The following is a 16,365-nucleotide window of genomic DNA, read 5'->3' on the forward strand; positions in this document are numbered from 1 at the left end:
AGAAGGCAATAAATAATCCAGTATTCTGGAAGGTTTTAAAATGTTTGCCTCATTTATTTTGTGAAGTGAAAATAACTTTATCCAAATTGTGGTAATATTTTTTAACGTTGTTTAGACCCTTTGACTTCTCACTATAAAATTGAATAATATACCCCTGACTACTTAAATGGAGGAAGAAAAGATGAATATTAGTGGTAAACCCCAAAATTTCATTTATTTTAGAGAGATACATGAGTTGATAAAAAAGAAATAATTTGTAGAACAAAGAAGCACAATTCATTGCCTTCAAGTACATAAAACAAATAGAGCCAGGCCAACAAATTTATCTAATGGTGTTTTTAAGGAGACTCATTATAAGTATTTAATTAATATACTATTTAATATGTTATTTTTTTGTGGTCATCAATTGTGCTTTTGGAGTATATATAAAATCATCCAGAAATGGGGATACGGTAAAATTAACTTCATTCCAGACCTTATTCTAATGAATAGCAATTTTTAGTATGCTCAGACTTAAAAGTTTATATAGTTTTGAATATTTTGGTTTTAAAATCGTGTATTTCTCCGACAGGTCTCAACATGCTTTAATATCATTAGATGAGTGTCATTATTATCTATGGACTACATTTTGCTGATGGGAATCTGAATCTCAGGACAAAGGAGGAAGGGGAGAGTGCTGTTCTCCAAACACTAATTCTTAGGCTAATAACTGACTTAGGAGATCATACCCTGCTCTTTCCATTTACTTTTCATTTAGTTCTTCAGGTGTTTGGAATAGAAAAGTGGGAAATAAAATATGGTAAGGGCAATTTATTATTAGACTGTAGATATTTTAAAGGAAAACAGCCCTTTATACTCTTTGACCCTATGACATATGTTAAAAAGCAGGAAGAACAGCAATGCCCTGTAAGTTGATATTTAGGACCTATAGGATTCATGCCCACTCTAGTTCAGGAACAACTTAATATCTACTGGTAAACATCTGGAAAACAACAAGGCCAACCCTATCACTTTTTTCCTAGTTGTGGATTGCTGACTTTTCATCCTTAATCTTTCAGGAAAATTTAACTTTGGTGAATTTACTTTGACAGGTTAGCTCGATGTAACTGCATTAAAAAAAAATCACAATTTTTTTTATGCACAACTGCATTAAAAAATCACAATTTTAACTGCATTAAAATTTAATCACAAGAAATGGAAGAGGAGAGAACTCCCTAATGGCTGTTGCTGTTACAAAGGTAGTCATAGCAGTTTTTAAAATAGTTTTCTTCTTTTTTTTTTTTTTTTTTTTTTGGCCATTTCAGACAGTCCAAAAAAGAAAGAGGGCCTGCTGAGTATTTTGCCAGGGAGCTAGAGAATGAGACAAAGAATGCCAGTGATACATGCATTAGTTTCTCTTGGGAAACCCAGGCTGTTTTAAAAAGCCATGAGCTCAAGGAATCTTGGTGAAACCACTAAAGAAAAAGCTTATCAATGTTAAAGGACATTGTAAAACTCTTTGGAGATATTTATTTTACCGTATTAGAAAATACTTTATTAGATTGAGTCTATTTTATGTGTAGGGTCAACAGAACCAGTCTCATCCTTCCTTCCCTTGTCCTCTTTAGACAGCCCTCAGGACTGACTCCAACTCGAGTCATTACAGAATATAGTTACAGGAATCTCAAAAGGAACAAAAGCACTAATATTGAACCATACTCCCTAATACAGTTTGCATATTTGTCCTCACCTAAATGTCATGTTGAATTGTAATCCCCAGTATTACGGGTGGAACCTGATGGGAGGTGATTGGATCATAGGGGTGGATTTCTCATGAATGCTTTAGCTTCCTTCCCTTGGTGCTGTCCTCACAACAGTGAATTCTCACAAGATCTGGTCATTTAAAAGTGTGTGAACCTCCCCCTGAACTCTCTTTCTTGCTCCTGTTTTTACCATATGAAGTGCCTGCTCCTGCTTCACCTTCCACCATGAGTAAAAGCTTCCTGAGGCCTTTCCAGAAGCAGATGCTAGTGGTATGCTTCCTGTAAAGCCTTCAGAACTGTGAGCCAATTTAATCTTTTTTCTGTATACATTACCCAGTCACAGGTATTTATTTATAACAATGCAAGAATGACCTAATACTGAAAATTGGTACAAGGAATAGGGTATTGCTATAAACATATCTAAAAATGTGGAAGAAACTTTGGAAGTAGGTAACAGGCAGAGGTTGGAAATTCTTGGAAGGCTCAGGAGAAGACAAGAAAATGAGAGAAAGCTTTGATTTTCTTAGAGACTGGTTAAATGGTTGTAACCAAAATGCTGATAGTGATATTGATAGTAATGTCCAGGCTGCTGAGGTCTCAGATGGAAATGAGGAACTCATTGGGAACTGGAGCAAATGTCATGCATGTTATACCTTAGCAAAGGACTTGGCTGCATTGTGCCCCTGCCCTAGGGATCTGTGGAAGTTTGAACTTCAGAGTGATGATTTAGGGTATCTGGCAGAAAAACATTTCTAAGCAGCAAAGTGTTCAAAATGTGGACTGGCTGCTTCTAACAGCTCATCCTCAGATGGAGGAGCAAATAAATAACTTGAAGTTGGAGTAATATTCAAACAGGAATTAAAATGTAAAGTTTGGAAATTTTGCAGCCTAGCCACGTGGCAAAAGAAGAAAAAGCTTTTTTGGGATAGGAATTCAAGTAGGCCATGGAAAAACCACTTGCTAGATATTTGCATAACTAAAAGGGAGCCAAATACTAATATCCAAGACAATGGGAAAGGCCTCAAAGACATTTCAGAGATCTTCAAGGCAGCCTTTTCCATCAAAGGCCTAGAGGTCTAGGACAGAAAAATGGTTTAGTGGGCCAGGCCCAGGGCCTTGCTGCCCTGCTCAGCCTCAAGACACTGTTCCTCATATCCTGGCCACTCTGGCTCCATTCTCAGCTCAAAGGGGCCCAGGTACAGCTCAAGCTGCAGCACCAGAGAGTGTAAGCCATAAGCCTTGGCAGCTTCCATGTGGTGTTAAGCCTGCAGTGCACAGAGTGCAAGAGTTGAGGCTTGGCCGCCACTGCCTAGATTGTAGAGCATGTATGGAAAAGCCTGGGTGTCCAGGAAGAAGGCTGTTGCAGAGACAGAGCCCTCACAGAAAACCTCTACTAGGGCAATGCCAAGGGGAAAATGCGGGGTTGGAACCTCCACACACAGTCTCCACTGGGGCACTGCCTAGTGGAGCTGTGAGAAAGTGGCTACCACCCTCCAGATCTGAGAATGGTAAATCCATCGGCAGCCTGCACCCTGTGCCTGGAAAAGTCATAGGAAGTCAACAACCTGTCAGAGCAGCCTTGGGGCTGAACCCTGCAAAACCTCAGGGATGAAGCTGCCCAAGACTTTGGGATTCCACCCCTTGTAGCAATGTACCCTGATGTGGGACATGGAGTCAAAGGAGATTATTTTGGAGATTTAAGACTTAATGACTGCTTTGCTGAGTTTTGAGCTTGTGTGGGTCCTGTAGCCTTTTTCTTTTGGCCAATTTCTCCCTTTTGGAATGGGAATGTTTACCCAATACTGCTACCTCTATCATATCTTGGAAGTGAATAACTTGTTTTGATTTTACAGTTTCATAGGTGGAAGGAATTCATCTCTAGATGAGACTTTGAATTTTGTACTTGGGACTTTTGAGTTAATGCTGGAATGAGTTAAGACTTTGAGGGGACATTGAGAAGTGATTGTATTTCAAAATGTGAAAAGGACATGAGAGGCTGCGCATTGTGGCTCACAACTGTAATCCCAGCACTTTGGGAAGCCAAGGTGGGCAGATCATGAGGTCAGGAGATCGAGACCATCCTGGCTAACACGGTGAAACCCCATCTCTCCTAAAAAAATACAAAAAATTAGCTGGGCATGGTGGCACATGCCTGTAGTCCCAGCTACTCAGGAGGCTGAGGCAAGAGAATCACTTGAACCTGGGAGGTGGAGGTTGCAGTGAGCTGAGATTACATTACTGCACTCCAGCCTGGGTGACAGAGTGAGACTCCATCAAAAAAAAAAAAAAAAAGAAAGGACTTGAGATTTGGGAGGGACCATGGGCAGAATATGGGTCCTGGTGGGAGGTGATTGGATAATGGAGGTAGATTTCTCATGAATGGTTTAGCACCATCCTCTTGGTGCTGTCCTTGTGTGGTGAGTGAGTTCTCACAAGATCTGATCATTTAAAAGTGTGTGCCACCTGCCCCTACATTCTCTCTCTTGCCCATTTTCACCCTGTGAAGTGCCTGCACCTGCTTTGCCTTCCACCATGAGTAAAAGCTTCCTGAGGCCTTTCCAGAAGCAGATGCCAGTGCTATGCTTCCTGTACAGCCTGCAGAACCATGAACCAATTAAACCTCTTTTCTTTGTAAATTACCCAGTCTCAGGTATTTCTTTATAGCAATGTAAGAATGGCCTAATACACTCCCTGATATATCACAGCCTCCACCCCACAGTGAACAAATGCTCTTAATGAAGCGTATAGGGTCTTTTTTAAAACTGTCTTTGAGACAATGGATAGAACAACAGGTGACACTCTAATAGCAGCTCTGGTGGCCACATAATTATTGCTTTCTTCACTTTGTGGCTCTATTGAGCTACCCAAAAATAAGTGAAAAAATCACAGGCAGATGACTTTGTTCTATAGGAAATGCTCATTATGATTCTGCCGTAGTTAATAAGGCATTTACAAATAATCCACCTTCCTCTATTTATTTCCTTGTTCATATATTAAAAAATATTATTTAGTGCCAGCTTGTGTGAGACATTATGTTAAGTGGTATGTAGTAATTGTGAGTTGAGCAACAAGGAACTCCTTCCTTCTCTTTCTTCAGTTCTTTACTTACATATATTGTAACACTAAGTCCTATCCTGGTCACCCTGTTCATAATTACAACCTCACACACACACTTATTATCACTCTTCCCTGCTTTTACTATCTTTAATCCTTACTCACATCTAATATGTGATATATTTGATTTATTGACTACTTGTCTCTCCCACTATAATGTAAATTTCATGAAGCTAGGGATTTTTATTTTTTTGTGTTCACAGACCCAGCATTTAAAAAAAATGCCTGGAAATAGGCTGTCAATAAATATTTCTAACCAATCAATTAATGAATAAAGCAACTGCAGACAAAAACATAATAATGAAGTGGCACTAAAGTCCCCTCTTGTTTTTTATTTGGATCCATTAATCGGTACAAATTGCATCTGTTTTTTTCAGATTTCTAGACATTTTATCATCTCTTCTCCAAAAATGTCAGGTATGATAGTGCCTGAAGACTTGGTGAAAATACAGTTAATTATATCTATTTTCCTCTGATCTACACATCAAACATGCATGGCAATAAAGATCATATTTTCCTGGAAAAACTTGATAAATTGATAACCGTATGCTTCCAAGAGGGCTCCAAAAATCATCTGCTAAAATTTATTACTAGGGTTGATACTGCTTATTTTGCTGGGTTCCTGTGAAAACTATGTGGGATAAAGTTTACAAAAACCTGTTAAATCTGGCATTGGAGATCAAGGAGATGCAGAAGAAGTAGTAAAGGAGACTGAACATGAACTTCCAGAGAGGCAGAGAAAACCAGGCTACAAAAGTGTTCAAGGGCAAGTGATAAACTTTGCTGGTCTAGTTTATAGCTCAACTAATGAACTAATAGTAAGGAGGAGGTTATTGATGACTTTCATAAAGGAAGCTTCAATAGATTGGTTAGGCAAAACTTTACTGAAATAAATTTAAGATAAAATGAGAGTAAATACATATAGGGGACAATTGGTATAGACAATACTTTCATAAACTTTTGCTATAAAGGAAAGAAGAGACATGGAGTGTAAGGTCATAAAGAGTTTTCTGTATTTTTTATGGTTCCCCAAATAATAGCCTGTTGGTATGAGAATGATTCAGTAGAAAAGAAAAAAAAATATTGATATGATTTATAGAAAAAATGATGCCTGGAGGAATGTTCTTGGTGGATGAGAGGAATGGGGTCTAGTGGACAGGTAGCAATGCTGACCATAGCTAGAACAGAAAAGAAGCCTCAACATTTTCACCCGTGACCTGGAGGAAGACATTAATAAATACTGCAAATTCGGTAAAAATAGCTGATATACTAGATAGTAACATTGAAATTTAAAATATCTGTCATGTATAAATATAAAATAGGGCCAGATAATCTGAAATATATGGGCTTATAAAAAGGTAAATGAAAATACAGATAATCAAAAGCATGTAACTTGGGAGGGAAATAATTAAGGTTAAATTGTTATAAGATTTGTGTATAGTTTTTCAAGGTGGATAAAAATTTTTATTAACTTCACAATGTTAAATTAATTATGAAAGCTAAAACTTTTAAGTGCAATCACTAAAACAAAAAAATAAAGTATGTATAATAGTCTATTACAGGAAAAATAATGGAATTCCAAATATAAAATAGCTTTATCTACTAGAATAGTAGATAAGGAAGAGTAACCAGATGTTCAAGGGTCTGAAAACAATGGTTAAAGGCATAAAATATATAGTTTTGGTAAGAAAAGTCATTTTCTTTGCAGGACTTAATGCTCAAATTATTTCTTCAATTTGATAGTCTTTAAATATTTTAAGATCTATCATAAGTAGGGGAAGGGATTAAATGTACTCCTTATTTAATGTTAGAAAGTTGAACAGGCTATGGATATGAGTTATGGGGAGGTAGTTTGGGGGTTTATTGTAAGAAAAATATTTATAAAAATGGAATGGCTACAGGTGAGATACTGAGCTCTCCTTCAGAGGTCATAGGATCATCTATCTGTCAGGAAATTTTGATATGGGTTACTGTAGCAAAAGTTGGACTAAATGAACTGAATAAACCCTGTGCCAACTCAAAGATTTTAAAATAATAGTAATGATTTAAAAAAATGTTCTAATCACCTTATAGACATTACTTTATTCAACCTTTGCATCAACATCATCAGATAAGTATTATTCCTGTTTTTGAAGATGTTAAATTTAGAGGTTTAAGTGCCTTGTTGAGGATGTGCAGCTTGTGTGGGGATAGAAATCCAGGAATGCCTCATTCTAAAGTGGGAGACTTTTCATTATGCCTCACGGAATCCCAGAATGAGAGTCATCGACTCATTTCTAATCTTGCCAAATTCCCGCAAAGAAGTCCTTTCTGTCTCATAATAGTGGTGTAAAATATCATAAGCCAAAATCAGCAAAGGTAGATATATATATATATACATACACACATACACACATATATATGATATATACATGTATTATATGTACATATATTTCATGCATACACACACACAATTTCAGTAAAGACTTTGCTCCTTCTTCTTTTCCAAAAACCTAGAACCTAAAAGAAGCCTTCTTCATGCATAAAAGTAAATTTCTCCAAATGAATTTTGGCAGTAATTTTTTAAGAACTAATTGTTTCCAGTATACAAAGTGAATCTTTATTAATTTTTATGTAATTTCTCTTCTTTTGTATTTGGTCCATAGATAATTGTTCTTTTTTTCTTTTTTTGCATTTGATTCTTTTATAAAGTCTGATGGTGTTGGATATTCTTATACAAATTCTGATAATAAACCTTAATATTGATTTGTCTAATAGGAGAGGCACAGCTTGAACATACTACTACTGAATGAAAATAAGCGTAACTCGGAAGATTTCTTTTAGTAAATCAGTTGGTGTATAGTGACATTTCAGAGGGAAGTGGATAGAAGATGCATGGATAAAAATTATTTTATGCAAAATAAAAATTGAACATATCTCTACTCTGAATTTGCACTAACTTAAAACTCTAAAGACTACTAAATGCTAAAAGGATTCATTGTGGTCCTGAACTTGGTGGACAGAAATGTGACATTCTGATATTCTGACTTGTGATGCACTACTTCCAGTGTATTTTCTACAAACTTAGCTTGATGGAACTTTCCTGGGAGCAAATTTTCTAGTGAGATTTCCAAGCCAAATTTGATGGCATTTGGTTGAATTGGATGAGCTTCAAAGTAAACACGCCAAATCTGAATCTTTGTTTGAATTGGCTGAAACCCATTGGGTTCATGTCACTGGTGAAAAATGGCTTTGTTTGGGTGAATAGATTTTGCTGAGGCTTCCAGTAGCTATCTCGTGGCTAAGGAAAGGCATGGAAAAATTTGGCCTCAAAAACAAAAAACAAACAACAACAACAACAACAAAAAACAAAAAAACCTGAGAATGTGGAGCAGTGTTATTGGGATCTCATCATCCCTAAAGTTCTTGCTGACATTTAGGATGAGTGTAGACTCTGCCCTTCAGTTTTGTAGGGGTTGAATTCCAACTTTGCTAGTTGACTTCTAAGTATGTCATTTTTACTTTTTAATAACCAATACCTAACAATTACTCTTATTGTGATTGAATTTTAGATCTCTCTTTACCCTGAAAACACAAAACTTATTGTGGGACCATAGGGATGGTGGTGGGGATGCTCTTTCCCCTTCCTTCTTGCAAACTGAAATTTGGAGGTCAAATAGGAAGAAAGAGGAGTCCCTTGCTGAGTCACAGTCCACTTTGGCTTACTCAGTCATAAAATAGGTTTCCCAATTTGGGGTGTGTGTCTGTGTGTGTGTGTGTGTGTGTGTGTGTGTGTGCGCGTAATTGTTTTGGGGATCTCTTCTGAAGAAATATTCACAGAACTTCAAACATGTGGCTCATTAAGACCTATCTTAGAGGACTTGTTCTCATCTACCAGCACTCCTTTCTTAGAGAGGTGTACCGTTCTTGCTTTTATGTAGTAAGGCACAGAAAGCTATGCTAAATAGGAAAAGCTAATGTTAAAATATACCTCCCTCACTTTATGCAGGTAAGCAGAGGAAGCTACTGTTAGGTTAGAAAGTTTTGAGACTTCATCTGTCAACGGTCAACTTGCCTCCAAGATGGAGAAAGTCTACATGTACAAGAAAGTCAAGCAAAGAGAATTGGAGTTGAGAGGTGGAGGGAGAAGCTCTCTGCATATAGTTTTGCCTAAATACAGCTCTATCTCTTGATATTTCAATTACATGAGCTGGTAAACTCACTTCTTTTGCTTAAACTTAGTTTGAGTTGCAGTTTGTCACTTACAACCAAAACCATATAACCTCCACGAGGTTATAAAATAGGTAAGACAGACCCTGTGATACCTATTTCATTTGAATGACTGTGATGGCAAGATATTATATTTATCCACAGTGTTAAAACTGGCATCACCAAACCATCACTTAGGATTTCCAAATGACCTTACCTTTGCATTGTTCACAGAAGGTGGTGACTGACTCATGAGTATGACCTGAAGTTCTATAAAACACCATATACTCAGCACTTCAATATAAATGCATGGATATCATAATGCAATGAGGGGCTACTAAGGTGCCTGACAGCCTTTGGTCATTTTGCAGTTGTTTTGATTGAGGAGATTTCTTTCCTCTTCCTTGACATACTGTTTCATGGCTCCTAGGTACTGTCAGATGCTATATTTCTTGTATTAGTGAATTTTTTTCCTGAATGCACTATGGTTTTCTGTAACACTATCCACCTATCCTCTTCTCCCACTCCCTTGTTAAAATGGTTTTTAGGGAAAGATACTCTTTAAATTTTCAGTAGCATTGGAATATTACAAACATGGAATGCTAAGTTAAATCTGACATTCTTCCTCTTAGCTCACTTTTTTATTACAAGCACATAAGTTAAGAATCCACTGTGAGCTTTAATTGAATTTCTTGAGATGTTTTTATGATAAACCTAACCTACAATTAGAATTTTAAAAATATGATTCACATAGTTATCTTTACTAGATATGTGTTTATGCTGATGTTCACTTTCACCAATTCTTCTGCCAATATGGCAGGTTTTCATTTGAGTACCATAAAAATGCATTTGTTTTAGTGGACAGAATAATGGAATTACTGTATTTTAATGATGTTGTTTTCTTTGTTCAGCATCCAGGCCATTGCTCCAATTTTCCAGTCTGGTCATGGCTAAAATGTTTTAGGCAGTATTTAGGATGGCTTGACTCCACCATGCTAAAACATGCTGCTAATATTATAAACCCTTGTAACTTTGGAGATTTTTCTCAATGTATAAATACAGAAGTGTGGGATGGATTTTGCTTTTGGTGGTTTCAGAGGGGTGGCCATGCAAGAAATTGTTTTCAAAACAATCACCCCCACCATCTGTGCTGCAGAATACAGATTCAAGGGGCTGATAGAGACCCTTGGGCCTCCCAGCAGAAAGGAGCTCATGAAACCTCTGAGATCACCTACCCTTTGTGAGAAAATCACTGGGCCGGGGGTGGGGTGGGGGTGGGGTGGGGGAATGGCTTTACAGAACTGACTTTACCCGATGGGAGGACATGTTCAGGTTTTCAGGATAATGCTTATTTTTGTGGGTTTTGTTTACACAACGTGATTTACTGCTGCCTTACTGGCTAAGTATTATCTTCTCTTCTCTTTTTAGTGAAAGTTTCATACCTATGCTATTAGGAGGTTCTGTAAGAGGTCCAACTTTTTAAGACAATAAGGTATCAGTGAGTAAAGAGCATGGAAATGTTGAATTTACAAAGATAGACTGTTTTCCTTAGGAGAAAATATCCTCCTAATTTCAAACCCTCTCCAGAGGGCTAAGGAAAGCTTTAAATATCCATTCAAAATTCTTCACAGCCAGACATCCCTTTTAAAGGAATTAGGTTACATCAGTTGATGTAATTAACTCAGATTGTTTGGGTGATCCAAATCCCAAAGGCAGCAATACATCTGTGCAGCACACACATTTCCTCTTCTGTGCAAAGGCGCCAGTGGTTTCGATTCTGGGTGTGTATTTGAGGGGGTTGACGAAATGGGGGCAACAGCAGGAGCTGGTGAAAGGTAATATAGAGAACAATCGTGTACCAAAAATGTTTTTTTTTTGATGCTATCTGATTTCCTTTTAAATCTTTGTTTGAAAAAGGAATACCAGTTTGGAATCTCTCAATAATCAAATATATTAAAATAAACCATCTTTTGTTTCATTAGCCCAGTTATTCATTACTGCTCTTTGGGCATCTGGCCAGCAGCGTAGAGCTGGAGGGAGAGGTATCTTTTAGTCAGTCAGTGAACTGGAAGATGTGCCATTTTTTCACCTCTGACTTGCAGGAAGAGGGCTCAAGAATCTGTGTTTGCGAAACGAATCCAGTTGCTTTATATTGTATGTGAATATCATCTCACATCGAATCTTGACGCTACAAAGGTATATTTATGCTTCAATACTTCCATCTCCAGGTGATGTTGCACCTGACCCATTTCATATAGTTTTCTGTCTAATTCTTTTAAGAATTTGAAACTCAGAGCGTCAGAGTATGCTGTCTTTGAAAATCTTTCTGATAGACTCTCTTTCAATTATTACAAAGCTTCATCTCCATAACACTCTATTTCTTGACCAGATTCTACATAGGTTGTCCAGTTTGTATCTACTCTTAGTGTCACATCAGCAAATGTGAAATACAATTATTGCTTTCTCTATATATTAAATTCTTTCTGATATTTTAAAACTGCAGGTCTTCTACGGTGAGAAGAGTTATAACAAGAGGTAGAGATAATGCACTAAATTAATTAAGAACATGTATATATTAAGAGACTTCTGTTGACTATGACTAGATCACTAAAGATAAAACATAATTTTTTTAACAAGACAAATTTCTATTTATATTTTATGTTGCTCTCAGTTCTGCATATTCATTTGTAATAGGAAAACATTATTTTAAGCAAACATAAATAATTGCACAGCCTTTTCAAGACTTTTTTTGGCTTTGAGGTACTTTTCTGGAGTAAAAGGGCTTTTTAAACATCACTATTTTGTCCATGTTCTTAGGAATGTCTGGTAAGAAGATATCTGAGTCTTAGTGAAAGGATATAAAATATAAGTCAATTGCATTTGAAAGAAAAACTCCCACCTAAGACTGACCTCAGTATTTAGGGGGCTTAGGCGTTTTCAAATAACTGTTTCAGTTTTGGCCCATTTGTCTAGACAACACAAGGGAGAATGCTTTTTTCCATCAATTCTAGGTCTAATCTATACAGTTCTGTTCAGCTTTTTTTCTATCTCTCCCATCCAGTCTGGGGAACTTTCCAGATTGGTAATGGTACACTGAATTCACTCTTACCCCTGGAGTTGTTCAATGTTACGGTTGGAAGCATCTTTAGGGATTAGTCCAACTCTTACTTTTTAAAAACTTTTGTATTTTCTTGTAGTAAGAACATTTAATATGAAATTAACCCTCAATAGATTTTTAAGTGTACAATACAGTATTGATATACAATGTTGTACAGCAGATTTCTAGAACTTATTTATTTTAATAACCGAAACTATGTATCCATTGGTAAGCAACCTGTCCCTGGCAGCAACAGTCCCTGGCAACCACCATTTTACTCTCCGCTTCTAAGAGTCTATTTTAGATGTCTCATGTAAGTAGAATTATACAGTATTTGGCCTGCCCTAAGTGGCTTATTTTATTTAGCATAACGTCCCCATGGTCGATCCATGTTGTTGCATATTGCACTATTTTCTTCTTTTTTAAGGCTAATATTCCATTGTATTTATATACCACATTTTCTTTATTCATTCATCTGTTGATAGAAATTTAGATCGTTTCCCTATCTTGCCTGTTGTGTATAGTACTGCGCTGAATTTAAGAGTGCTAATGTCTCTTGGAGATTTTGATTTCAATTCTTTTCTAAAAATACTCAGAAGTGGGAAAGCTGGATTATATGATAGTTCTATTTTTAATTTTTTTGAGGAAACTCTATACTGTTTTTCGTAGTGGCTGTACCATTTTGTATTCCCAACAACAATATACAAGTTTTCCAATTTCTCTACAGCCTCACAAACACTTGTTAGTCTTGAGTTTTTGATAATCATCATCTTAACACTATCTCACTGTGGTTTTGGCTTCCATTCCCCTAATGATTAGTGATGTTGAGCACCTTTTCATATACCTGTTGGCCATTTGTATGTCTTTGGAGAAATGTCTGTTCAAGTCCTTAATCCACTTTTAAAATTGGGTTCTTAGCGCTTTTTTTGCTATTAAGTTGCAGGGGTTCCTTAAATATTTTGGAAATTGACTCCTTATGAAATATATGGTTTGCAAATATTTTCTCCCATTCCATAGGTTGCCTTTTCATATATGACCTTTACTATGTTGAGAAAATTTCCCTCTATTCCTTGTTTATTGAAAGTTTTTATGATGAAAGAGTATTGATTTTTATCAAATGCTTTTTCTGCATTTATTGAGATGATCATACAATTTTCATCCTTCATTCTGTTATTCCAGCCTGATCATGGCTAAAATGTTTTAGGCAGTATTTAGGATGGCTTAATTGATCTTTGTATGTTGAATCATCTTTGCATCTTAGAAATGAACCCCACTTGGTCATGGTGTGTGGTCCTTTTAATGTGCTGTTGAATTTGGTTTGCTAGTAAGTTGTTGAGGATTTTCGCAATTATATTCATCATGGATATTGGCCTATAGTTGGTTTTCTTGCAGTCTCTTTGTCTGTTTTTTTTTTTTTTTTTGGGATTGAGTCTTGCTCTGTTGCCTAGGCTGGGTGCAATCTCGGCTCACTACAACCTCCACCTCCCAGGTTCAAGCCATTCTCCTGCCTCAGCCTCCTGAGTAGCTAGGACTACAGGCATACACCACCATGCCTGGCTAACTTTTTTATTTTTAGTAGAGATGGAGTTTCACCATGTTGGCCAGGCTGGTCTCGAACTCCTGACCTCAAGTGATCTGCCTGCCTTGGCCTCCCAAAGTGCAGGGATTACAGGCATGAACCACCATGCCTGGCCCTCCTTGTCTGGTTTTATATAAGGGTAATGCTGGCCTCAAAAATGAGTTTGAAAGTGTTTCCTCCTCTTTAATTTTTTGGAAGAGTTTGAGAAGGATTGGTGTTAATTCTTCTTTAAATGTAGAATTCATCGGTGAAGTCAGCTGGTCCTGGGCTTTTCTTTATTGAAAGGTTTTTGATTACTGATGCAATATTCTTACCAGTTATAGGTCTGTTCAGATTTTCCATTTCTTCATAATTCAGTCTCAGTAGGTTGTATGTTTCTAGGTTGTTCATTACTTCTAGGTTATCCAATTTGTTGGCATATAATTGTTCACAGTAGCCTCTTATGATTCTTTTTCTTTCTGTGGCATCAGTTGTAGTGTCTCCTCTTGCATTTCTAATTTTATTTGGGTATCATCATATCTTTTTTTCCCCCTTAGTCTAGCTAACAGTTTGTCAAATTTGCTTTTCATAAAACCAGCTCTTAGTTTTATTGATTTTTTTCTACTCACTATTTTGTTTGTTTCTACTCTAATCTTTATTATTTCCTTCCTTCTGCTAACTTTGGGCTTACTTTATTCTTTTTCTAGTTCCTTCAGGGTGTACCAGTAGATGATTGTTTATTTTAGATCTTTCTTTTTAAATGTAGGTATTTATCACTGCAGTTTTCTCTTAGTACTGCTTTAGCTGCATCCCATAAGTTTTGGCAAGTTGTGTTTCTATTTTCATTTGTCTCAAAATATTTTCTAATTTCCCTCTTGATTTCTTCCTTGACCTATTGGTTGTACAAAATATGTTGTTTAATTTCCACATATTCATGAATCTTTCAGTTTTTCTTTTGTTATTGATTTCTGGCTTCATTCTTTTGTGGTTGGAAAAGATATTTGGTATAATTTCAATCTTCTTAAAATTTTTAAGACTTGTTTTGTGACCTAATATATGAACTATCCTGGAAAAAGTTCCATGTGCATTTGAGAATAATGTATATTCTGCTGGTGTTGAGTGAAATGTTCTGTATACCTCTGTTAGGTCCATTTGGTCTATAGGATTGTTAAGTATTGTTTTCTTGTTGATCTTATGTCTGGATGTTCTGTTTATTATTTAAAGTAGGGTATTGAGGTCTCCTACTATTATCATTATTTTTTCTATTTCTACCTTCAGTTCTATCCATGTTTGCTTTATATATATTTAGGAATTCTAATGTTCTCTGTATCATTTTATATTCCTGTATATACATTTTATCACTGTATAATGTCCTCTTTTACTCTTGTGACAGTTTTGACTTAAAATCTATTTTGTCTGATGTAAGTATCACCATCCCTGCACTCTTTTGATTATCATTTACATGAATATCTTTTCCACCCCTTCACTTTCTTCTTAACCTAAATCTAAATCTGAAATTAGCTTCTTGTAGACAGCATATAGATAGATTTTTAAAAATACATTCAGCCATTCTATGTCTTTTGATAGGGGACTTTAATCCACTTATATTAAAAGTAATTATTGATAGGAAAGAATTTACTATTGTTAATTGTTTTCGGTTTGTCTTTGTTTTTGGTCCCTCTTTTCCTTTCTTGTGTTTTCCTTTGTGTTTCATGAAATATTTTTGTATTAATATATTTGATTTGTTTTTCTTTTTTCTTTTATGTAGCTTCTATAGGTATTTTCTTTATTTTTATTTTATTTTACTTTATTTTACTTTTGAGATGGGGTCTCACTCTGTCACCCAGGCTGGAATGCAGTGGCCCAATCAGCGTTCACTGCAGCCTTGAACTTCTGGGCTCAAGCAATCCTCCTGCCTTAGCCCCCCTGAGTAGCTAGGATAGGACTACAGGCACATGCCGCTGTGCCTGATAATTTAATCTCTGACAGTGCTGAGATTACAGGTGTGAGGCACCATGCCTGGCCAATAGGTGTTTTTTGTGATTACCATGGAGCTCACATAAAATATAACAGTTTGTTTTTTAAGCTGATGAAAACTTTAGTTCAATCACCTAGGAAAATGCTACACTTTTACTCCTTCCCCCACTCTTTGTGTTATTGATGTGATATTTGTATAGTGTACCCATTAAGATATTTAAATTTATGCTTATTTTGAATACTTCTCTCCTTTAATTTACTATGCCATAATTAAAAGTGATTTAACAAACATCGTTACAGTAATATTCTGTTTTTGTCTATATATTTACCTTTATCAATGTATTGTATAGTTTCTTATGCTGTTATGTCACTATTTAACATCCTTTGGTTTCAAGTTTAATAACTCCCTTTAGCATTTTTTATAAGGTAGTACTAGTTGTGTTGGACTCTCTTGGTTTTTTTTTGTCTGGTTAAGTCTTTACTTCATTTATGAAGGACAGCTATAGTATTTCTGATTGGCAGTTCTTCTATTTTAACACTTTGAATATCTCATTCTACTCCCTTCTATCCTCCAAAATTTCTGCTGAAAAAGTCACTGATAGTCTTATGAGTATTGTCTTGTATGTAAATAGTTTTATGAGTATTGTTTTGTATGTAACAAGTCTCTTTTCACTGCTTTCAAAATTCTC

General features: G+C 36.1%; 1 annotated feature.

Moving 5' to 3' along the window:
- Window positions 2,402-2,989: an enhancer, noted in NCBI's record as "OCT4-NANOG-H3K27ac-H3K4me1 hESC enhancer chr5:81839635-81840222 (GRCh37/hg19 assembly coordinates)". NCBI's record gives its function as "activates a minimal SCP1, AML or CMV promoter by ChIP-STARR-seq in naive H9 embryonic stem cells {active_cell/tissue: H9 hESC(naive)}" and the evidence as "EXISTENCE:reporter gene assay evidence [ECO:0000049][PMID:30033119]".

The sequence above is a fragment of the Homo sapiens genome, chromosome 5 (assembly GCF_000001405.40).
Source record: "Homo sapiens chromosome 5, GRCh38.p14 Primary Assembly".
In the NCBI taxonomy this organism is placed as follows: Eukaryota; Metazoa; Chordata; class Mammalia; order Primates; family Hominidae; genus Homo; species Homo sapiens.